Source organism: Homo sapiens, chromosome X (assembly GCF_000001405.40).
Source record: "Homo sapiens chromosome X, GRCh38.p14 Primary Assembly".
NCBI classification, from domain to species: Eukaryota; Metazoa; Chordata; class Mammalia; order Primates; family Hominidae; genus Homo; species Homo sapiens.
This window is the reverse complement of record NC_000023.11, coordinates 105,911,602-105,936,173: the sequence shown is the minus strand read 5'-3', so window position 1 is coordinate 105,936,173 and position 24,572 is coordinate 105,911,602. Positions and strand designations below refer to the sequence as shown.

General features: G+C 34.1%; 1 protein-coding gene across 5 annotated transcripts in view; it reads right to left on the bottom strand.

Annotated features, from left to right (window-relative positions):
• NRK (Nik related kinase) overlaps nt 1-24,572 on the bottom strand; it is a 136,825-nt gene that overhangs the window by 22,437 nt on the left and 89,816 nt on the right. For all 5 annotated transcript variants that reach the window (XM_011530887.4, NM_198465.4, XM_006724632.4 and 2 more), the window contains exons 14-21: nt 23,419-23,526; nt 20,377-20,444; nt 18,502-18,596; nt 14,113-14,210; nt 12,692-13,056; nt 11,143-11,479; nt 1,730-1,916; nt 849-1,004 (exon numbers count right to left, since the gene is read on the bottom strand). In XM_011530887.4, coding sequence (XP_011529189.1) covers nt 849-1,004; nt 1,730-1,916; nt 11,143-11,479; nt 12,692-13,056; nt 14,113-14,210; nt 18,502-18,596; nt 20,377-20,444; nt 23,419-23,526 — 1,414 coding nt within the window. The remainder of the gene's footprint in view (nt 1-848; nt 1,005-1,729; nt 1,917-11,142; nt 11,480-12,691; nt 13,057-14,112; nt 14,211-18,501; nt 18,597-20,376; nt 20,445-23,418; nt 23,527-24,572) is intronic.

Here is a 24,572-nt window from a genome sequence, read left to right as displayed (position 1 = left end):
TATGAAATTGCAAGACAGAGGTTGGCATTTACTTTGGATTTCTCCCTTTCTTGAATTCATTTATTTTGTTTCATTTATGATTCAGATTGGCTTGCGGTAAAATATTGTCTCAGCATTGCCAATGTGGTTATAATTCTTCTGAAAAAAAGGATTTTAAAAAGTCTATCAGAGTTAAGACATTATAGAAGGAACTTTCTCTACAAATTTCCAAGGCTTTTTAAAAACAAGATCCTGCAGAAATATTTCTTGGAATACCTCATAAAGTATCACATGTTGAACACTACCCTAAATTAGAAATACGAAACTTAAACTTTCAAACAATCATAACCTAGTCCAGTTGTGTATATATATATATATATAAAATATAATAAATATAATATATATAGAGAGAGTCTTGCACTGTCGCCCGGGCTGAAGTGCAGTGGCGTGATCTCTGCTCACTGCAACCTCCACCTCCCAGGTTCAAGCAATTCTCCTTGCCTCAGTCTCCCAAGTAGCTGGGATTACAGGCACCTGCCACCACACCCAGCTAATTTTTTTGTATTTTTAGTACAAAGTTTCACTATGTTGTCCAGGCTGGTCTCAACTCCTGACCTCGTGATCCACCTGCCATCCAAGTTAACTCAGGTTTAAAAGAAATAGAATACAAAGGTGGGGGCCGTCAATTCAAACATCAAACTGCACTGAGTGAAAAAAAAAATCAGCAAAACCAATTCTGAGCAAATTAACTACTATAAATATATTTTTATTGTAATGACTTGGTAAGAGTAAGCAAATATTTTATGTCTATGATTTTCACAGGTTTGCTACATAAAAATATATTCTTTAAGAAAACAAAACAAACTCACCCCACAAAGAACCACAGCAGATCTCAGAAGTGAACTCCTTTTCATACATGTGGATTAGTGGTTTTTTACATGCAGGAGAGACATAGAGTGGGTTAACATTGACTTCAGAGGGTTGCTTAGGTGATTCCTCAGGTACTTCTACGAATCCAGCGTATACTGCAAAGATGTAAGGGGAAGATAATAAGGGAAATTACTAGTTCTGTGCATGATGGAGTTACAGAATTTTTTTTTAAAGAAAAATCTGCACCTGATGGAGTTATAGAAAAATTTTTTTTAAATTACTCCTCTGTACACCTTATATGCTACAGTGTTTCCGCAAATGAGACACGACTTAGCCAAATTTATTTTCTTTGGCTAGATGTCGTGGCTCACACCTGTAATCCCAGCTCTTGGGAGGCCAAGGTGGGAGGATCATTAAGAATCAGAGGTTGAGGCTACCATGTACCATGATCCTGCCACTGTAATCCAGCCTAAGTGACAGAGCGAGATCTTATTTCAAAATAAAAAAACAAATAAATTTCTTTCCTTTTATTGTATTTTATTTTTTACTGGAAGTATAGTTTCAGTAACTCTGAAACCATCAGATAACACAAATCGTGATGGCTAAAATACATTGTTGAACACGAATATATTTTAAGTTATTGTGATTAGAAAACACACATAAATCCATATAAGGGACTCAATTTCTCAATTGTAGCTCAAATTTAGGTACCATAAAGATTCAGTAAAGAGTAGATGTTTTAAAAGCATATATCAATCTGAATTTATTTCAAGTGAATGTGAGAATAATTTGATTCCTAACAGATCATGAAGCAGTGGTTAAACACTATTTAATAAGTGAACAGATAGTAGCATTTAGAGATTACATTGAACACACTCACAGATGGCACTGGCAAAGTTAGCATCAGCAGACATCCCAGAACCTTTGGAAGGAGATGAGTGATTGGCAGAAAAATCTGATTGTGTTGATGATTCTGATATGTCCTTATTGTCACTCTCATGATCAGGTGCTGACGGTGCAGCACCTGAGTCAATGGCATTTGAGGCCTCATTTCCACCACCTGGCTCCTAAAAGAAGTCCAAAAACCAATTTTTATTTCATTAGTAGGTTAACAGTGGGAGAAATATGCCTAGTGAGGGGTCGTTTGAAAAACACAATGCAAGATCTATAACATCTACATTCTTATAAAATCCACATTTACTAGAAAAACTCAACAATGTCATCAGAAGGAGAAAACTAACCTATTATTGAGATGACTGATGGTACAGGAGAAAAGCAAGGAGCTATAGGTTCCCAACTGTACAATTTGAGACCTAACATTTGTGGAATTTTTACCATGTATCAGCTACTGTGCTAAGCATGATATTTAGATATCTTTGTGAATCCTTACCATAGCCCAACAAGTAAGTATAATTATCTCCAATTTACTTATACAAATTTAAAATTTAGAGACAGTAAATAATGTATTCAGTCATAGTACTAGTAAGTAGGGGAAGCAGAATTTGAAGCCAAAGTCTGTCTGATTCCAAAGCATACATCCAGCTATGCTATGCCAAACAGCCTCTTGAAAAAATATAAAGCACAGTGTGGGGGTGTCTGTTCTACTGCTTTAAGGTATCTTCACAAAACTGAAAGCATGAAAAACCTGCATAAATAATTTTCAAATGATAAAGAAAATGAAGGCAAATCAACCAACACAAATCCAAGAGCGTAAACATGCATCACTGAAAATGTAGCTGGCTTCCATTAACTTACAAAGAAGATACTCAAGGATAAAAGCCACGAAATGTGACAATTTATGTGGTATGCCCTGTCCTGTGGGAAAATATGTCAACTATTGTTGGTAAGTTATTCTGTTGATAAGCTCATCTTTGTGTCTAAACAGTGATTCTTGGCACTGAGAGAGCTGTGCTATTCTGCAAAAGACTGGTTTTTATGACCTTTTCAACCACAAAAACATGGTATGACATCACGTCCTTTTTAAATTAAAATGAAAGGAAGATCCACTTCCTCTATAAATTTCCAAAACATTCCTTGAGATAACTGGATATAACCAGGGTTGCTATGAAACTTATGTTGGGACATCCTGTTTTAATGTCTTTAATTAAGATAGATAGATAGATAGATAGATAGATAGATAGATAGATAGATAGATAGACAGACATAGATATTTTCCCACTGACACTGCTTTCCCATTAGAAACCATCCAGGAAATTTCCTTCCTTCCTTTTTTTCTTTCTTTTCAAACTTTATTGATTTATTCCATAATTACTGTGTGCCTATCATATGCCATGTCCTTGGTTAGACACTGAAGTTGGGTGAGTTGGTAGACAAATAATCATGGAAGGATTAGACATAATTATTTCCTTTAAGAGTTCACAATATAGTATGAAAGCAAAAAAATAAAATAACTAACAATAATACCATAAGTACTAAATTGGAACTATGGACAAAAGGTTTGTAAGTAGAAAGGAAGGGATATATAACTCTGCCTTGGGAAGTCAAAGTTGATACTTAATTTGGCCCATGAAGGATTACTAATTTACCAAGCAGAGAAGAGGTGAGGGGGCAGCCTTCCAGAGGAAACAGCTTGCACAGGAGCGCTGATTCATGAAAGAGCATGGCATCTCCAAAGCCAGTTTGTGTGACAAGAAAATAGGCTAGGGGAGTAGACTGGCATAATCTTTTTTCTGTCTGGAGTTCCACCTGTGTTTTCAGATATCCAGATACTCCCCATTTCTCAAGAATGAGTTCAAATACCACATGGTTCAGAAAATATTATGTGTGATAATTTCTATTGATGTAGCATCTGTGAACTACTTGAATATTTTAAACCTATTTATAAAGTCAATAAATGTTTTGTGAATGACAAAATCATTGTCTAAACACAGTATATTTCTTGAATTAAAATTTTATGTTATCAGTTGCTCAAGAAGTTAAGCATAGCCTGATTACATGATATAGCAATGCCTCTCCTAGCTATATACCCCCCAAAAACCTGAAAGCAGGGACTCAAACAGATACTTGTACATCAATGTTCACAGCAGCGCTTTTCACAATAACCAAAAGGTGGAAACAACCCAAGTTTCCATCAGTAGATAAATGGATAAACAAAATGTGGTGAATGCATAAGATAAAACATTATTCACCCTTGAAAAGGAATGAAATTCTGATACATGCTGCAATGTGGATAAACTCTGAAAACCTAAAAAGTGAAATAAGCCAGACACAAAAGGACAAATATTGTATGATTCCACTTATATAAGTCACCAAGAAAAAAAAGTAGAATAGAGGTTATCAGGGGTTAGAGGAGGGGGGAAACAAGACTTAATTGTTTAGTTTGTTTGGGATGGTAAAAAAAATAAGTTCTGAAAATGGATAGTGGTGACAACCCCACAACATTCTGAATGTAATAAATCCAACTGGTTTGTACACTTAAAAATGGTTGAAATGGTAAGTTTTATGATATGCATATTTTACTACAATAAAAAAAAACTCAGAAAAAAATAATCGGTTCCAGTTGGAGTGATGTCAGTAAGATAGCTTATTGGTGGCACCTGGTGCTTGTCCCCCTCACAAAAAAGGACAAAGAGAATGAATAAACAGAGTTCAACTGGTGTGTCTGAGGGAGAGTGTTGGAGTGCAGTGATGGGGTGGTGAGGTCACTGTGTAGCATGGAATCTCAAAATGGCAGCAAAGAGAGGGAAGTGAGGTACTCTGCTTCTGCTGCCCCATCTCCCCTACCATGATCAGCTCAGAGCCCGGAATAAATTCTCCTTATTGGGAAAAGGTAAGCAGAAGACTCTCATCAGCCCCAATTGCCACCACAGACAACTGTAGTACTTACTACAGGAGAATCTCATAGTCCTCACAAGCCCTGAGTTCAGTTTGGGAAGGTGCCTGAAATTCATGTGTCTGCATTGCTCCAGATAAGGAGCAAAAGTTGTGCATTTCCCACCAACCCATGACCTAAGCTGCTGCAGCCTGGTGCCATCTTGAATCTAGAGGCACTGCTGAAATACACTATGTTCTGGGGGCCAGTAAACACTGTGCCTCTCCAGTCTTGCAGCTCCACTGTCATTTCACCAAGCCCCAACTGATGGCTGAAATGCTGTGACCCTGACTGCTCAGATCTTGGGCCCAGGAAAGGTCAGCCATAACTCCAGTACTGCACATTGGCGAAGCCAACTCTAGGCTGGCTTAACTGCTGTGCACTTGCAACCCTGGCCAGAGAAACAGCTCAGCAGCACTGATCCCAGTAAGCCAGACCCCAAGCTAGCTTTCCCACCCTGTGTGACCACACTCTTGCCCAGAGAAGTAGTCTGATAGCTCAACACTGGAGGGCAAATTCCTGAGCCACCCAACCCACCGCATGTGCACTTTTGCCTCTGGACTGAGAAACAGCCTGGCAAGCCCACCCCTGGCAAAGGTGTGCCACCTCTGCCACAAACTTTTGCAGCCTGGGCCAGTGAGGTACTAGCAAACGTTGCTAATGTATATTACAGCATAGAGACCACACTGCTGCATCCACCCAGAACCAAAGTCAATGCACCCAACCCAACCAACACCCCAGGACCCATCTATGGACTAAGTCTTTCCTTATGAAAGCCACTCCATAACATTATAAGAAGCAATTGCTCCATCAGATGGACAGATATCAACACAAGGACACAAGAAACATTAACAAATAAGGAAACATGATACCTTCAAAGGAACATAATAATTTTCCAGTAGCAGACCCAACAGAAAAGAAAAAGTGAAGTGCCAGAAAAGGAATTAATAATAATGATCTTAAGGAGATTCAGCAAGATACAAGAGAATACAGATAGACAAATCAATGAAATTTTAAAAAATCATGATCTGAATGAGAAATTCAACAAAGGAATAGGTATCATTAAAAAAGAACCAAACAGAAATATTGAAGATAAAGAATTCAATGAATAATATTAAAAAATACAATACAGAGCTTCAATAGCTGACTAGACCAAGCAGAATAAAGAATTTCTGAACTTGAAGACATGTCTTTTAAAATGATTCAGGCAGAAAAGAAAAAAGAGAAAAAAAAAGAATAAAGAGAGCCTATAGAACTTATGGGACAACATTAAGAGGATGTATTTTTGAATTATGGGGGTTCCAGAAGGATGAAAAGATGTAGAAAACTTATTTAATAAAATAAAAGCTGAAAAATTCCCAAGTCTTGGGAGAGAGATATGAACATCTAGTTTCAGGAAGCTCAAAGGTTATCAAATATATTCAACTCAAAAAGGTCCTCCCAAAGAAAATCACAGTGAAACTGTCAGAAGTCAGTGACAAAGAGAGAATACTAAAAACAGCAAAAGGAGAGTCTTATCACATATAAGGAAATCCTCATTGGACTAACAGCAGATTTCTGAACAGAAACCTTACAAGCCAGGAGAGAATAGGATGATATATTCAAAGTGCTGGAAAAAACCTGATAGCCCAAAATAGTATCACCAGGAAAGCAATCCTTCAGAAATGGAGAAATAAAGCCTCTTCCAGATAAGCAAAAAGCAGAGGAATTCATCACCACTAGAGAGGTCTTACAAGAAATGCTTAAGGGAGTCCTACATCTGAAAGGAAAAACACAATAACAACTATCATGAAAACATGAAATTATAAAACTTGTAAAGCAGGTATAGAAAGGTGAAATAGAAAGGAATCAAACCTTATTACTACAAAAGATTACCTAACAACATAGATTAACAATAAGAGAATAGAAAAAAAAGGATACACAAAACCAGAAACAATTAACGAAATGACAGGAGTAAGTGTTCACATATCAATAATAAACTTGACAGTAAACAGACAAAATTCTGTAATTAAACATATAGACTAGTAGAACAGTTAAAAAGTAAAAAAAATAAAAATAAAAAAATAAAAATACCCAATTATATGTTGCCTATAAGAAATTCACCTTACCTGTAATGACACACACTGATTGAAAATGAAGAAATGGAAAAAGATATTCCATGTAAACAGAAATCAAAAGCAAGCGTGAATAGCTACACTTATATCAGATAAAACAGGTGTTAAAAGTCAAAGAATGTAAAAAAGAGAAAAACACGGACATTATATTATGATAATAGGATCAGTTCAGCAAGAGGATATAATAATTATAAATACTTATGGACCAAACACTAGAGTACCCAGATATAAAAAGCAAATATTATTGCATCTAAAGGGAGAGATAAACTACAATATAATAATAGTTGAGAATTTCAACACCTCACTCTCTGCATTGGACAGATCATCTACACAGAAAATCAACAAAGAAACATTGGATTTAAACTGCAGCATAGACCAAATGAACCTAACAGACATTTATAGAACATTTCACCCAACAGCTGCAGAATATGCATTATTTTCATCAGCACATGAAACATTCTCTAAGACTGACCATATGTTGGGACACAAAACAAGTCTCAAAACATTTTTCTAAATCAACATTATTATTGAGTATCCTTTATGACCAAAATAGAATAAACTAGAAATCAATAACCAGAGAAACATTCAAAACTGTAACAATATATGGAAATTAAAAATATATGCTCCTGAACATCAATTAGCCAATAAATAAGAAGGAAATTAAGAAATTATTTGAAGCAAATGAATATAGAAACACAGCACACCAAAACTTATAGGAGACAGCAAAAGCAGTAGTAAGAGACAAGTTTATAGCAATAAATGACTACATTAAAAAAGTAGAAAGATTTTGAATAACAATCTAATGATGCACCTCAATGAACTAGAAAAGCAAGAACAAACCAAACCCCAAATTAATAGAAATAAAGAGATAATAAAAATCAGAGCAAAAGTAAATGAAATTGAGACTCAAAAACAATACAGAAGAAATACAACATGAACATTTGGCTTTTTGAAAAGATAAACAAAATGGACAAACCGTTAGCTAGATTAACTAACAAGAAAGTATAAAAGACCCAAATAAAATCAGAAACAAAAAAGCAGACATCACAACTGATACCACAGAAATACAAAGAATCATAAGAGACTATTATGAAAAACTACACAGCAACATATTAGAAAATCTAGAGGAAATGGAGAAATTCCTGGACACATACAACCTAGCAAGATTGTACCAAGAAGAAATAGAAAGCCTAAACAAACCAATAATGAATAATGCGATTGAATCAGCAATAAAAAGTCTCCCAACAAAGAAAAGTCCAGTACCCTATGGCATCAGTGCTGCATTCTACCAAAGATTTAAAGAGGAACTAATGTCGATTCTCAAACTATTCCAAAAAAGTTGAAGGGAAGGGAATTCTTCCAAACTCATTCTGTGAGGTCAGTATGACTCTGATCTCAAAACCAGATAAGGACACAACAGTTACAACAAACAAACAAACAAAAACTACAAGCCAAGATCTCTGATGAAGATAGATGCAAAAATAATCAACAAAATACTAGCAAACTGAATCCAATACCATATCAAAAATATTATACACCATGATTGAGTGTGATTTATCCCAGGGATACATGGGAGATTCAACATATGCAAATCAATAAACATGATACATCACATCAATGGAATCAAAGACAAAAATTATATGATCATGTGAAAAGATACCAAAAAAAGCATTTGATAAAATTCTACATTCCCTCGTGATAAAAACTCTCCACAGTTTGGGTATGGAAGTAACATACCTCAAAACAATAAAAACCATATATGAAAAACCCACAGCTAACATCACACTGAATGAGAGAAGCTGAAATTCTTTCCTCTAAGAACTGGAATAAGACAAAAATATCCACTTTCACCACTCTTATTCAACTTAGTTCTGGAAGTCCTAATCAGAGCAATTTGGCAAGAGAAGGCAATAGAAGACATCCAAATTGGAAAAGAGGAAGTCAAAGAGTGTCTGTTTGCAGATGACATGATCTTATAAATAGAATATCCTTTGACACTACCAAAAAATTCTTAGAATTGATGAACAAATTCAGTAAAGTTGCAAGATACAAAATCAGCATAGAAAAATCTGTAACATTTGTACATACCAACAATAACCTAGCTGAGAAAGAAATCACAAAAACAATCCCATATACAGTAGCTACAAAATAAAATACTTGGAAATAAATTTAACCAATGAGGTGAAAGATCTCTACAAGAAAAACTATAAAACATTGATGAAGGAAACTGAAAAGGACACACACACAAAAGGAGAGGCAACATATGCTCATGGACTAGAAGAATTAATATTGCTAAAATGACCCTACTATCCCAAGCAATATCCAGATTCTATGCAATCCTTATGAAAATACCAATGACATTCTTCACAGAAATAGGAAAAAAATCCTAAAATTTGCATGGAACCAAAAAAGACCTAGAATAGCCAAAGCAATCCTGAGGAAAAAGAATAATACTAGAGGCATCACAATATCAGATTTCAAAATATACTACAAAACTACAGCAACCAAAAAACAGACACACATACCAATGGAACGGTATAAAGGACCCATAAATAGATCCACATATTCATTTATCTCATTGTGGTTGATTTTTGATAAAGGCATCAAGAATATTCACTGGGGAAAGAACAATGTCTTCAATAAATGGTGCTGGGAGAACTAAATATCCATATGCAAAAGACTGAAATTAGACCCCTATTTCTCACCTTATAAAAAAATCAACTCAAAATAGATTAGAGACTTAAATGTAAGATCTGAAACCATAAAACTACTAGAAAATATAAGAAAATGCTTGTGGACATTGGTTTGGGAAAAAAGAATAGGACCAAAGCACAGGCAACAAAAGCAAAAATAGACAAATAGAATTATATCACACTAAAAATCTTCTGCACAGAAAAGGAAATGATCAACAAAGTGAAGAAACAACCTGAAGAATGAGAGAAAATATCTGCAAACTCTTCGTCCAACAAGGGATTAAAATCCTGAATGTAAGAAACTCAAACAACTCAACAGAAAAAAGCAAATAATCCAACATGTATACATATGTAACAAACCTGCACGTTGTGCACATGTACCCTAGAACTTAAAGTATAATAAACAAAATGGACAAATGATTTGAATAGACATTTCTCAAAAGACTTAGAAATAACCAACAGATAGATGAAAAAAAATTTCAACATAATTAATCATCGGGAAAATGCAAATCAGAACCACAATGAGATATTATCTCATCCTAGTTAGAATGGTTATTATCAAAACATAAAAAATTAATGTTGGTGAAGATGTGGAGAAAAGGGAACTTTTATATACCGTTGGTGGGAATGTAAACTACTACACCCACAATGGAGAATGGTATTGTGGTTCCTTATAAAACTACAAATAGAACTACCATATGATCCAATAATTCCACTACTAGGTACATATCTCAAAAAAAGAGGAAATCAGTGTATCAAAGAGCTATCAGCACCTCCATATTTACTGCAGTACTAATCACAATAGCCAAAATAAGGCATCAGCCTAAGCATCCATCAAGAGATGAATTGATAAAGAAAACATGACATATATACAGAAATAAATGCTATTTAGCCATAAAAAAGAATGAAATCTTGTGATTTGCAGCAACATGGATGAACCTGGACTCAATGTTAAGTGAAATAAACCAGGAACAGAAAGATAAAAACCACATGTTCTTACTCATATGCAAATGCTAAAAAATTGGTCTCAAGTAACTAGAGAGTAAATAGTCGTTTCTAGAGGCTGGGAAGAGGAGTACGGGAGAGTGATAGAGAAAGGCTGGTTAAAGGATCCAAATGCATGACTAGATAGGAGATATAAGTTCTAATATTCTATAGCACTATAGGGTAACTATAATTAACAATAATTCATTACATATTTTCAAATAGCTAGGAGAGAGGATATTGATTGTTCCCAACACACAAAAAAAATGATGAATGTTTGAGGTGATAGACATGCTAAATACCCTGATGTCATCATTACAAATTGTATATATTAAAATATCACTCTGTACCCCATAAATATATACAATTATTAGGTGTCAATTAATTTTTTAAAATATTTTTAAAAAGTGTGTGTCAAGAGACACTACCTCAAATATGTGATCTGAGTAATAAAGGCAAACAAATAAGAGATTTTTGTCTTTGGAAGTAAATAGGAACCACCCAAATTAGAGGTAATAAGGATCCACCTACAAACCTATAATTAAAAATGTTTAAGGCCTTGGGGTATATGATGAAAATCTATTTGGAATGGCTAGAAATGCTACATGTCCCATGAAGAAACACATTCGCAATGAGAGGAGTTCAATCTGCTTTTCAAATGGTGCATTACCTCCTGTAGATATTCAAAGTCCTGAGACGCAGGTCTCTTCAATCCTGGACCATCTGTCTCTGAGCAATTTTCTTCTCCATTGAGTCCAAGGGCTCCACTCTCTTCACTGGTTCGAACGACTCCCTTACCTCCATCACCCTCACTGCCTCTTCTTTCACTGCCTATATTGGCTGCATGTTCTTCCTGATCTCCAATGGCTGCATTGTCCTCACTGGCTGCACTTCCTCCATGGCTTCTATTGGCTGTATGGCTTCCATAGCCTCTGTAGGCTTCCTCTTTTCCACGACTTCCATCATAACCATCTTGCTTGCAGCTTCCATCTCTGCCATAGCTTGCCCTGACAACAAGCTCCAATTAATGAAAGAAAGTCACGCAATAAAAACACATTTGAAAGTTAGCAAGTACAACAGAATTAGGATGTGTCTTATACATATCTACCATGCCCAGGCTTGTCTTTGTTCTATGTGAACACTACTGGTATGATAAAGAACATAAAAATGCCCCTATGTCTTCTCAGTCTTATGTAATGATTAAAGCCATAGCCACCACCAATTTCTCAGATGCATTTGGATGGCAGAGGGAAGAGAACTTGTATTCTTTGTTAGGTGCGTGTATTAGGTTAACAGCAAGAATATGTAGTTTTTTTCTTAAATATATACTATTTCATGCATTAGCAACTTCACAGACACATGAATGATTAAGCCTATGTTTTAGCTCAACCACAACATGATTAATTCTTCTTGCAGTATATCTAGTTTGTGTTCATTTCAACATGTGCCTTGATTTTCTAACATGTGTACTGACTGCTTTGCTATAGAACTCCATTGGTCTACTACTCCCACCAAGGAAGTTCAGCAATACATACCTCATGTCTTGTGGAACTAAGTTATTTAATTAATTGCTAAAAATACTAAGCTTAACAAAATGTGCCAATGCTCTCTTTTTGCATAGGAAACAAAATTAAACATACGTGCCTGTGGTAATTCTAAAAGTAAATTTATTTCATAATGGAATTCTTGATAGACTTTTTTGGTTGGAAAAAATTAAAAGAGCTCTTGGTAATTTCTCCACCAATTAAACAGATAAAGATCATCTTAAATTTCACATATATATATATATATATATATATATATATATATAGTGATATCACAAAAGTTTGAGAAATGAATAGCTATGTTTGCAAATACCAAGACTTCATCTTATGCTTGTTAAGTTACACACTTTCTTTGTTGTCCTTTCTCATACTCAGTATAGTTTTATAGAGTAGGATGATTCAGTGGCAGTAATTTTAACATAAGCATCTAGACAATTCCAGTTATAAAGAAACTAATAAATACTTGAATGCTTATTTTAAAATACACAAATGACACAAAATTAGATGTTCTGCATTAGAACAATTTAAAATACATTATTGACAATCAAACTATTTACTAAAATGCAAGTGAAATTAGGTCACTCTCTTGGTAATAAATTTTGAAAATAAACCAAAAATGCAAATAGCTCTGCAGTCATAAAACATGGAGAGTATAAGTAATTCAAAAAAACCAACCTTGGACAACTAGGCGCCTCATAATAATTATTATTTACATCATCAACAAACTTATTGTTGTCATCATCATGGTCTTTACAAACATCATTAGCCTGATCAACCTGGTTATCCAAGTCATCATTGCCATTGGCATGATCATAGGTATCTTCAAAAGTATCATTAGACTCATCATCATCATCACCATCAGTATCAGCACTGGCATCATAGAGTTCAACATAATCACCATCCTCTTCAGGTGGCTGAATGACAGGTGCCGGAGTTAACCAATCATTCCGGAAGATTTCAGAGAGTGCATTATAGCCTACCCATTCGTTTGTCAAGTATACAGGGGGTGATATTTTTCCTACTTTAAATCCATCTGGAACCTGTGTGCACAAGAAAGGTTAATGTAGCCTCTAGTAGCTTTCATTTTCTTCTAGATTGGAAAGTTTCCAAGCTGACAACATTTTGAAATATATTTTAAACTGAAACAAGGATGTTCACTCATTAGATGGAGCCAAAATTTTAGTGAGGATGAGATGTCAAAACCCAAACATCAGACTGTGATTATTAGTGGCCTTTCTGGATCACATAGGGCAAAATTTACTCACTTAAAAAAAATACCCATACTTGTCAGCTCAGGAATGGACACTTGCTTTTGATGCTGGAGAGAACAGGAGATTTGATGCTCCTTAAAAATGGTAACTTTTCCCTTTTGTTTTATCCCCTGACATTGGGATTAACACACAGCTCTTGAAATTGATATGTTAATTTACCAGCTCAGGTTTTACGTGCCATGGGTTGTCTTAAAGTATCTCAAACACTTCCAAAGTGCAAATTAATCTAAATCCATCTTTTAAGTATGGTATGTATCATTTAACAACTTTTGGGCAATCTGGAAGGGATGTGTGTACGGTAGCATAGAGGTAATTCAAAATTGAAATAGAATAATCTGAAAGCACATTGCATTAGGACAATTTAAAATCTGCATTAGAACAATTTAAACATGTTCACAAAGAGCTGGAAGACTTTTTATTTATGCAGTCAGAGGACACTCTGTTTTTTACTAAATGTTTTATATTTATGCATTGCCTCATCACTCAAGGAATGCTATTAAAAGTTGGACATCTAACCTGTACCCCTCAATCTGAGATTAGGTTTTACAAACAGCTTGTTATCACTACTCTCCCAGACATGTTCTAACTGACACAAGAATGTGAAAATAAAATATTCTCTGATTGATTAAATGTTTTCCCATTTCAATTTTAATTTCTAGATTTTGTGTTCTATGTATTCACAAAGCAATGAGAATCTATCCTTAAAATGTTAATTAAAAAACTAAACTCTTTAACCTTTCCCTCAAGTGAATATGAGAATGTGTAAGTCAAAATAAATGGAAAATAAAAAATAATAGACATTAATGTGTTAAGATGGAAACTTACATGGATGTCAACCAGCAACTTCTGATCAATAGTAGAATAAGGTGGTGATGACTGAGACCTCCTTCCAGTCACAGGACTTTCTTCCTCAGAAGAAGATTCTATGGAATGCCAAAAACACATTAGTAACAATGGTGATTACAGCCATTGCCTTCATATGTATAGTGTATCAGTTAAATCCCTTGGTTTTTTTTCTTTTTTTTTTTCTTGGTCATTTTTATGATTCCATTCAGGAAGTATCACCTGAAAATTCTCATGGGGCCAGGATCTTAAATTCTCTTTTCAGGGGTATTAGCAGGGGTTCAAGTTTTCTTCCATCTGTAGACTTACATGGCTGCTCTGTTTTCAATATTAAGTGTACACTTACCAAATATCTCTATCTATGTAAGAAGATACATAGTCCAACTGATAGCCAGGTAGATACATTTAAAAAAATGTATCAAGAGTAGGAAGGACTGGGAGTACCACTGGCCTCACATACTGACCAGTAGAAAAAAAAGCCCGACAGTGTATTTATTAGAAGATGATAGACTAGCCAAAACCCTCAAGAGGAGAGTTCATTCTTCAATCTTTTTTTTTTTTAATTATACTTTAAGTTTTAGGGTACATGTGCACATTGTGCAGGTTAGTTACATATGTATACATGTGCCATGCTGGTGCACTGCACCCACTAACTCGTCATCTAGTATTAGGTATATCTCCCAATGCTACCCCTCCCCACTCCCCCCACCCCACAACAGTCCCCAGAGTGTGATATTCCCCTTCCTGTGTCCATGTGATCTCATTGTTCAATTCCCACCTATGAGTGAGAATATGCGGTGTTTGGTTTTTTGTTCTTGTGATAGTTTACTGAGAATGATGATTTCCAATTTCATCCACGTCCCTAAAAAGGACATGAACTCATCATTTTTTATGGCTGCATAGTATTCCATGGTGTATATGTGCCACATTTTCTTAATCCAGTCTATCATTGTTGGACATTTGGGTTGGTTCCAAGTCTTTGCTATTGTGAATAATGCCGCAATAAACATACGTGTGCATGTGTCTTTATAGCAGCATGATTTATAGTCCTTTGGGTATATACCCAGTAATGGGATGGCTGGGTCAAATGGTATTTCCAGTTCTAGATCCCTGAGGAATCGCCACACTGACTTCCACAATGGTTGAACTAGTTTACAGTCCCACCAACAGTGTAAAAGTGTTCCTATTTCTCCACATCCTCTCCAGCACCTGTTGTTTCCTGACTTTTTAGTGATTGCCATTCTAACTGGTGTGAGATGGTATCTCATTGTGGTTTTGATTTGCATTTCTCTGATGGCCAGTGACGATGAGCATTTTTTCATGTGTTTTTTGGCTGCATAAATGTCTTCTTTTGAGAAGTGTCTGTTCATGTCCTTCGCCCACTTTTTGATGGGGTTGTTTGTTTTTATCTTGTAAATCCAACTTACAAGGGATGTGAAGGACCTCTTCAAGGAGAACTACAAACCACTGCTCAAGGAAATAAAAGAGGATACAAACAAATGGAAGAACATTCCATGCTCATGGCTAGGAAGAATCAATATCGTGAAAATGGCCATACTGCCCAAGGTAATTTACAGATTCAATGCCATCCCCATCAAGCTACCAATGCCTTTCTTCACAGAATTGGAAAAAACTACTTTAAAGTTCATATGGAACCAAAAAAGAGCCCGCATCGCCAAGTCAATCCTAAGCCAAAAGAACAAAGCTGGAGGCATCACACTACCTCACTTCAAACTATATTACAAGGCTACAGTAACCAAAACAGCATGGTACTGGTACCAAAACAGAGATATAGATCAATGGAACAGAACAGAGCCCTCAGAAATAACGCCGCATGTCTACAACTATCTGATCTTTGACAAACCTGAGAAAAACAAGCAATGGGGAAAGGATTCCCTATTTAATAAATGGTGCTGGGAAAACTGGCTAGCCATATGTAGAAAGCTGAAACTGGATCCCTTCCTTTCACCTTATACAAAAATCAATTCAAGATGGATTAAAGACTTAAACGTTAGACCTAAAACCATAAAAACCCTAGAAGAAAACCTAGGCATTACCATTCAGGACATAGGCATGGGCAAGGACTTCATGTCTAAAACACCAAAAGCAATGGCAACAAAAGACAAAATTGACAAATGGGATCTAATTAAACTAAAGAGCTTCTGCACAGCAAAAGAAACTACCATCAGAGCGAATAGGCAACCTACAAAATGGGAGAAAATTTTCGCAACCTACTCATCTGACAAAGGGCTAATATCCAGAATCTACAATGAACTCAAACAAATTTACATTCTTCAATCTTAACCCCCACATATTTCCACCCAATGATATATCCAGATGTAGTTCAATACAGTTGAGGAGTGAACTACTGAAAAGAGATAACACCCGTTTCTATAAAGCTGGGAACCTTTTTATAGCAGCAATGTACAACAAAACTTTCTGCAGTGATAGAAATCTTCTGTATCTGAACTGTCCATTAACAGTGGTCATTAGTCACCCATGACTACTGAGCATTTGAAATGTGGCCAGTGTGCCTGAGAAAGTGACTTTTAAATTTTATTTAATTTTCATTTTACTTTTTATTTTAATAGCTACATGAGGCTAGTTGCTACCACATTGAACAGCTCAATTCTATAGTGTAAATATTTCCATTTAAAATACAAATGTATCTGGTTTGGAGATTAGGTTTTAATATTGAGTTGTGGTATGGTAAATAACCCCTGTGATTAAAATCTGGTGAGAATATTTAACAGGCTCAAAATTCAGGTCTGGGTGAGTGTACTTAGAAAAAGCTTCACTAAGAGAAAACTCAGGTCCCTGTTTAATGTTTTTGTGTGCTTAGATTTTCAAGATAAATACTATTGTCCCTCTTATTTTCAGTCTTGGTATACATAGCCAAAGTATAGATACTCCAACTCCAAAAGACATATATTTGCAAATACTGCTGTCCTTTGAGAACATTACACTGAACACATGCTAAAATTTGTGTCCCCATCTTCTGACACTGTTGTACTTGTGCTTTTTTTTTTTTTTTTTTTTTTCAGGAAACCATTTTCTTTTAAGTCTTTTGGTATGTTAGTAGACCAAATAAGTTCAAGTGAGTGCACTAAGATTCTGAGACAAATTTATAGTAAGGTGCTCTGAGATTTCCTCCATAATGAAGCATATAATTTCATGAGAATATCAAATGGTCTATGTAGCATAAACAATAAAATAAAAGAAATTTGGAGCTGAAAAGACATTTAGCTATTATCTGCACAGATGCCTTCTCCCTTCTATCAATGCTATGACTGCTTTGGGATCTAATCCAGAATTTCCTTATTTCAAAGATGCCACATGAATAAACCTTAAATTTTTAGTTGTTTGCCCTGTATTAGCAAAATTAGCCATAGTCAAGCCAGAAAGAAAAGACTCTGGGAAAAAATTTTTAAAAATTTGCTTTTCACTCAGGCTTATCTAATTTTCACAACATAGTATTTGTGTATGAGGAGACAGTGCTATTTAAAAGAACTCTGCCATAATCTGAGTCACTTAAGAAGAATAATGTGTTTTAAGTTTTGATCTTCAAATATTCACTTTTCAAAAAGTGAAGTACATCTGTATCATTTTTATTATTAACATTTTAATAAAATCAGTATACTATATTTTTACATATCAGCAACTCAATCAGCCATTTTTCCCTTGCTTAACTTACCTGGATTGCTTAAAACTGGATAATGCCAGATTGCATGATCCATGGCACAACTTTTGGCTTTGTTTATCCTAATATTTCATAAATCTATAATTCATTTAAACTCTCTCAAAAGCACATCTTAAAATACTTTTTTGAAATTCACATCACAACTTTTGAAGTTATTTTCTATGATTTGATAGATTAATTGTTCATGTATTTTGAGTAAAACCATCACTCTGTAACATTTAGGGATATTTATCAGATATTGTCCTATTTTGGAGAGGTGAAGTAACCAACTGATAAATGAAACACACACTCACAACTCCTCCATACAATATTCTAATTGCTACCTATAAATTTTAGCCTGCTGGAGAGGTCTCTCTCAAGTTTCTTTACCATACTTTTCTTACGTGGTATAGAAACCTAATAAAGCTGACTCCCCCCGCCTTCTTAGACACATTCCTAACTACTACCCAACAAAAAGAAGAAAATTCAGAAAAATTATTTTCCATTTCTCAAAGGCCACCACTGACCACCCAATTGCCAAATACAATGGCCTTCAGGTCCTAATCCTACTTGGGCTCCCTGACACTTTTGATTCATTCCTTCTTGAAATTCTTCTTTCTTGACTTCTGAAATATAAATTGTTAAACAGTAGCTCTGTGTTTTGCCTGCTAAAATTTTGTGCTTTGAATCACCTGATGCTGCCAGCCAATTTTGACGATTTTGCGAACTCCTTTGTCTGATGTCAATGGGCTTCTGAGCTTGTTCCAAAAGAGACCGCTGAGGAACGCTAATGAAAAGACAGAAAAGCATGTGCCATGTCCTAACATTCATAAAGGGAATGTACAACTCAACATAAAGTCCAACACAAAGTTTTGTTTAAATATATGGGTACATATCAAACTGAAAAAGAAGTATAACTTGAGTAATAATTTCCAGTTTCCATTCTCCCCCAAACTTGCTATTTTGTCTAGAATAGAGTAACGATTTCCAAAATAAGAAAAATATGTTTTCATAGAGTATATGTTTCCTTTATATATATATTAATTTCTAAAAATTTCTATAAGCTTTTAAAGCTAACATTCAGACAATATTTTACCTGAGTAACACAGCAATAAACATAACCTTATAGTGTATGTGAGTATTTTAACATAATAAACAAGTTACTGTTATGTCATATATTCTATTGTTATTATCCAGATTTTAAATGCTTGAAATTAATGTTTTTAACGTCCCATTCCGGATTTAGATAGCTACACTGACAGAAAAATAGAGCACTTTCGTTCTTACTATTCAAATTTAAAGAATATTTAGAGAGTTTCTTTGGACTAATGCTGCTAAATTTTACAGTTATTTTGGTATTTCTATATGGGAAGGACTTTGGTTATTGATTTAGGTCTGGAATAGACAAACTTTTTTCCATGGCCCCAAATTTCCGGAAAGATTTGAGTTTCATTTAAGTTAACTTTTTAAATTTAACTATATTTAAAGGCAACGTATTTGTTATTCATAAATTCAAAATCCTTTTGTAAAGTGAACAATTACTCTGAGTTTAACACCAAGTATGGATTTTATATATTGGATTTTATTAAAGTCATGTTCCATGATACCAAAACCAACTACTCAAAACTAAACTGGTTTCTTTCCTTTGAGGTCAGTTCGACCATGACAATCCATTCATTGAGTGCAGAGAAAAAGAAAGTTCGCAGTCTTGCTTTACAATTTTTCAAGATTTCTGCACTCCAGTTAAATCTGAAGACATAATTGTATGGGTTTTTTAAAGTAATGAAGCAAGAAAATATATACTACATAACATTAACTGTACGCCATCTGGCCATACTGTCCAATATCTTGAATATAGTGAGTGTTCAATAAATATTTACTGACTAAATGAATCAATATAGGCTAAGTTCTCTCTATTGTGAGTTGGGGCTGGAGGGGGTGAGATTTTCTTAAAAAAATCTACCTTAAAATTTAGTTTTCAAATATAACAGAATGCACACAATATCTGACATATGGAACGTGATCTTTGAAAATTATTGAAGATCACCAATATTACAAAGATTAAAAAATACAGTGACTGGTATCAATATTATATATGATATTTTATTTATATAATATTGAGTTTTAGATTTGATTTTGACTATAGGACATTTTTAGGCTTACCCATTCTGTGGCATTAGCTTCTGAAGTTAAAGACAATTGGTGTGTGTGTTTTATCATGCAGCACATGTGTGAAAATTCACTTGAAATTTCATGTCTTTTTATCATCGACTACTAATTGAATACTGTCAAAGTATTTGTTATTATTGTTTCTTTTTAAAATTGTGAACCTTGCCATCTATTTAGCAAACTAAATATCACAGAGACTGCAGTATGACCAAATATGAAAGATATAGGTAATGGATCATTGCAGTTAAGGTTTTCAATGTGGGCCAATAAAGTCAATGGTGATGATGTTGTCACGGATATTTTAGTTGACTTCACAAAGTGTATTATCAATGAAATAATTTTTAATTTTCCATTTGATAATTATGAATAATTTTAATATAGAAATCAAAGACACATACCTTGAAGAGAACTTGACATGATGTGCATGATCCTGGTTGTTAGGCACAGAAGGAGATCTCTCTTGAACCTTAAAGACACAATGCAATACTTCAGTAGAATTCTTGATCATAAATTGTACTGAGCTCTTAATTTGTGGGAAAATGCCTGTCTTCATATATATTTTCCTAAAATCTAACTTATAAAATATGATTTTAATAAACAGATTCTATTTCATAATGACTTACAACATTAGACTTGCTTAACCATAATTTCTGATGGTATATTTGATCTTTAGTATAGGAACAGATTCTGGAGCTCATATAATCAAAATCTTAATTTATTGTTGAGGAATCTGTAGCCTAAAGAGGGAAAATGACTTTTCTAAGAATTTTATGTCAAGTGAAAGGAACGTCTAAAATCAGAATGCAGGTCTCCCAACTTCTAATTTAATGTTCTTTCCATGTTATCACATTGCTTTTTATATCAAGTTTAAACTTCTTACTCAGAATTTAAGTTCTAATTCTTATACACTCATCCTTTTAAGCTAACCCTAGATTTTCAAAAGTTGTCACACACACATACATACATTTCATTAAAATCTCTCTAGTCAAAAGTGTCCCATCTTTAAGAAAGTAAGAAAGTATGTTTTTCTGCTTTACAATTTGACTGTACTATCATAATTAGTGTTCCAAGTACTGTTTCAACTCTAAATAGATTAATTTGCATTTTACTAATCATACAATCATTGAATATAGCCAAATACTCAAGAAAGGGTGCATATAATAAGCCAGCTTCCACCAATGGGGGAATTTTACTTTCTGCCAACATTGGTAGACAGGGCCAGGGAATGTTGCCTTGCCTCACTAAGACTTGTATCACCAGGTTTCTACTCAAAGAAGTTTTAGCTGCCCAAAACATAGGTCATTCTGACATGCAATAAGGCAGTCATACTAGATTCTTTAAAAAGGAAATTTAAGAGTGTTACTTTTTTAATCTAGCATATGCATGCTGATAAACTCATTCTATACTTTCTAGAAACTAGAGTAGCCTTAGTAAACTATTTTTTCTTTATGAAGTGGCTTATCAAGGCTCTCTCTACACTCCGAGAGACAAGTAGGTGAGGGTAAGTATCTGCCTATTTTTTTCCACTTTCATTTCATATAATTGGTATCATATGACCCAGTCGGGGACTTTTGGCTTATGAAGCTGATCTTAGGAAGTTTATTGTCACTACTGGAGGCAAAAATTACTCAAAATAGGTAACGGCCAAAAATAAAAAATATAATTCCTAATATAAATTGGCTGTATTTAATTTCAAAACTGGGGAGAAGAAAATGATTAGTAAGAATAGCATATACTAAGATAATGATGTATTTCAAATCAGACACAGCTCATTACATTTCCTGCTTAAAGTGTCAGGTTTAAGGTAATAATTATTACCTGTGAGTTTGAGTAAAGTCATTTAATAAGGCAAAGAAAAAGACATATTGCCTCTTCTAATTATATAATACAGTCTGGCTTATGTACCTTCTGCCAGTGGTTAGTACTTATAAAACAATACTCTTTGTTATTAACTTCAGAGGACTGTTAGTATTAGGGGAATTGTACTTAAAAATGAGAGTTGTCCATAAAAGACTTCATAGTAGACTCCTGTGTAACATCTTGTGCTGATTAGGAGCAACAATGAGGCTCCTGACCCACCATCAATAAGGCAAGAGTTTGAGTTCTTCACACACTCACCTAATCTACTTGATTGTTCAAAACAATCTACAAAAAGATTGTTTTAGATGGCTGGCTATTAGGAATACTGGCTATGATGATGATGCTACCTTTTCTAGACAAGAAAACCTACAACTCCGGCCTCACCAATATATGTTCTAAATAGGATACTATTAATATACTCATGAAAACAGAAGTCAAAATGGACACTAGGACTAACTTAATTATTCTTATAATTGTAAAACAAAACAAAACAAAACATAGATTAAATGTCCCAGACCCTGTCACAAACTGCATTCCAGACCAGAGCTAATCAAGGAAAAATATTTGTGTTTGTGTTACAAAACGAAACTGCCAGAATTTTTAATGTACAATATTTTTGCTTAAAGAAAGACTGACAAACTATGATTATTTAAACTCTGGGTATTTGGTAGACATTTTATTTTTAATGAATAAAGTAAACCTGTCAATTTAAGGGGAAAAAATGATGCCACAATTTAGCAATGATAAAATTTGAGCTTGCAAAGGAAAATTAGAATTTTCAAACATATCTCCCACCAAGCACTTGACAATTTAACAACACTCAGTAACTTTTATGATGAACTTGATGGTAACATTAACAAATGCTGTTTTTTGATATTGTATAATGAAACATGTAAATGTCTGGGAAGATCTATATACAAAGTGAACCAGTATTTTCCAACTGATCAATGCATGAAGTTAAAAATCATGCATAAGCAAAACATCTATTCATAGCATAAGATAGATCAATGAGTTTTATTATTAACTGAATATACAACATTTCATTGATATGGTTTTAGATTCCACTTCTCTAGTTTTGGTACATTATTCAATAATTTACTCAATTATCTAAGCAATCTATGAAAATTGACTCTTTCCCACTACCTATATGTGAGAAGCCAGCTTTTATTCGTATACTTCAACCAAAACAACACATGGCAACAGATTGAATGCAGAAGCAGATGTGAGAATCCAGCTGTTTTTCATTAAGCAAGATAGATTTAAGAGACTTACAAAAAAGTAAAACAATGTCAATCTCTCTAAAATTTTGTTTTGGGAAAATACAGTTTTTTCATTAAAAATGTGTTTCTTATGTTAACATGTAATAGTTTCATTCCTTTTAAATGAACTAATATTTTAAATGTTTTTCAGTTTTAACTTTTAATAAATTAAATATCAAATGATACAACCCATGTAAAAAATGAAAGCTTTTTGAGGTCCTCAATGTTTAAGAGTATAAAGGGACACTGAGACCAAAAAGTTTAAGAACCACTGTTCTGGGTTCTTACTAATGTCACAACAACTCATATTGAAAAATTTACCTCAATTTTTTTAGGATTTGAAATGTATGGCTTCAATGGCTCTATCTGGACTTCAGCCTGAATCGAATGAAATACTTCATCATTGTCTGATGATTCATCTTCTTTGTCCTTTGAAACAAAAAGGAAAGTAATTGTTTTAATTGTTGTTAAAATGCAAGTGATAGGAACAACTTCATCATCTTAATGCTGAATTGTTTATATGTATTATATAATATATAATTTAAAATAATACACAATTTAAAAGAATAATATCCAAATATTAAAAATGATTTAAACCAGTAGTTTCTAATAGTGTTTGGTTCTGGATCCCTTTCAGAATCTGAGAAATGCTATAGACTGTCCACAGAAAATTGCATATAGACATACCTATTACATATATTTTCTGGTGGATTGCTGACCTCCTGAAGTTCATCTACAGGGTCCAGGTTAAGAATCTCTGGCCTAAAACTTGATTGACTCATAACACCAAACTAACTGTCACATTTAGCAAGCTATTATAACCAAAGTTTGGTCTTCCTGAGCAATGGAAGATCTGTAATACAGTGGTGCAAATATTTCTCCCTAATTGAGATCTAGGACTTTAGGAAACTGTTTTCCCCTTTAATCCAATCAATATTATCTCTTCAACTGAAAGATTAATAAAAATGCATTTTTTGTTTCCTGCTGGTGACTTAAAGCACCCACCTATGTCTCTCAACTCTAATAAAATTTCAGGTATCATGAAGATCTGTGACTTTGACTATATTATCAATAATTTTCTTTTCCTTTATATTTTCTTCAACGACCACATATAAAGATATAAATGCTTGTACAATATCCTAGAGTCATGAGATTGGTAACTATTATTTATTGACTTTTAAAAATTTTAGAATGGCTTTCCACATATATGTTTAAAACAATAAATGACAATAAGTGTGTGCCATGCTGGTATCACTGAATCTTTCAGAGATCAATAAAAGTCTTATTCATAAATGCAAAACCCATTAGATCTAATTGATTACTAGGGTTCATCGAGAATAATCATTAGCATTTTAGATGAGCTAGTTTTTGCCAAATGTCACCATTCTAGACTTAAACCTCCCTTTTCTCCATCTAGTTTCTTGCTCCTTATAGTTCCCTTTTTCTCTGAGAACTAGACATCCATTTTCCCTTTT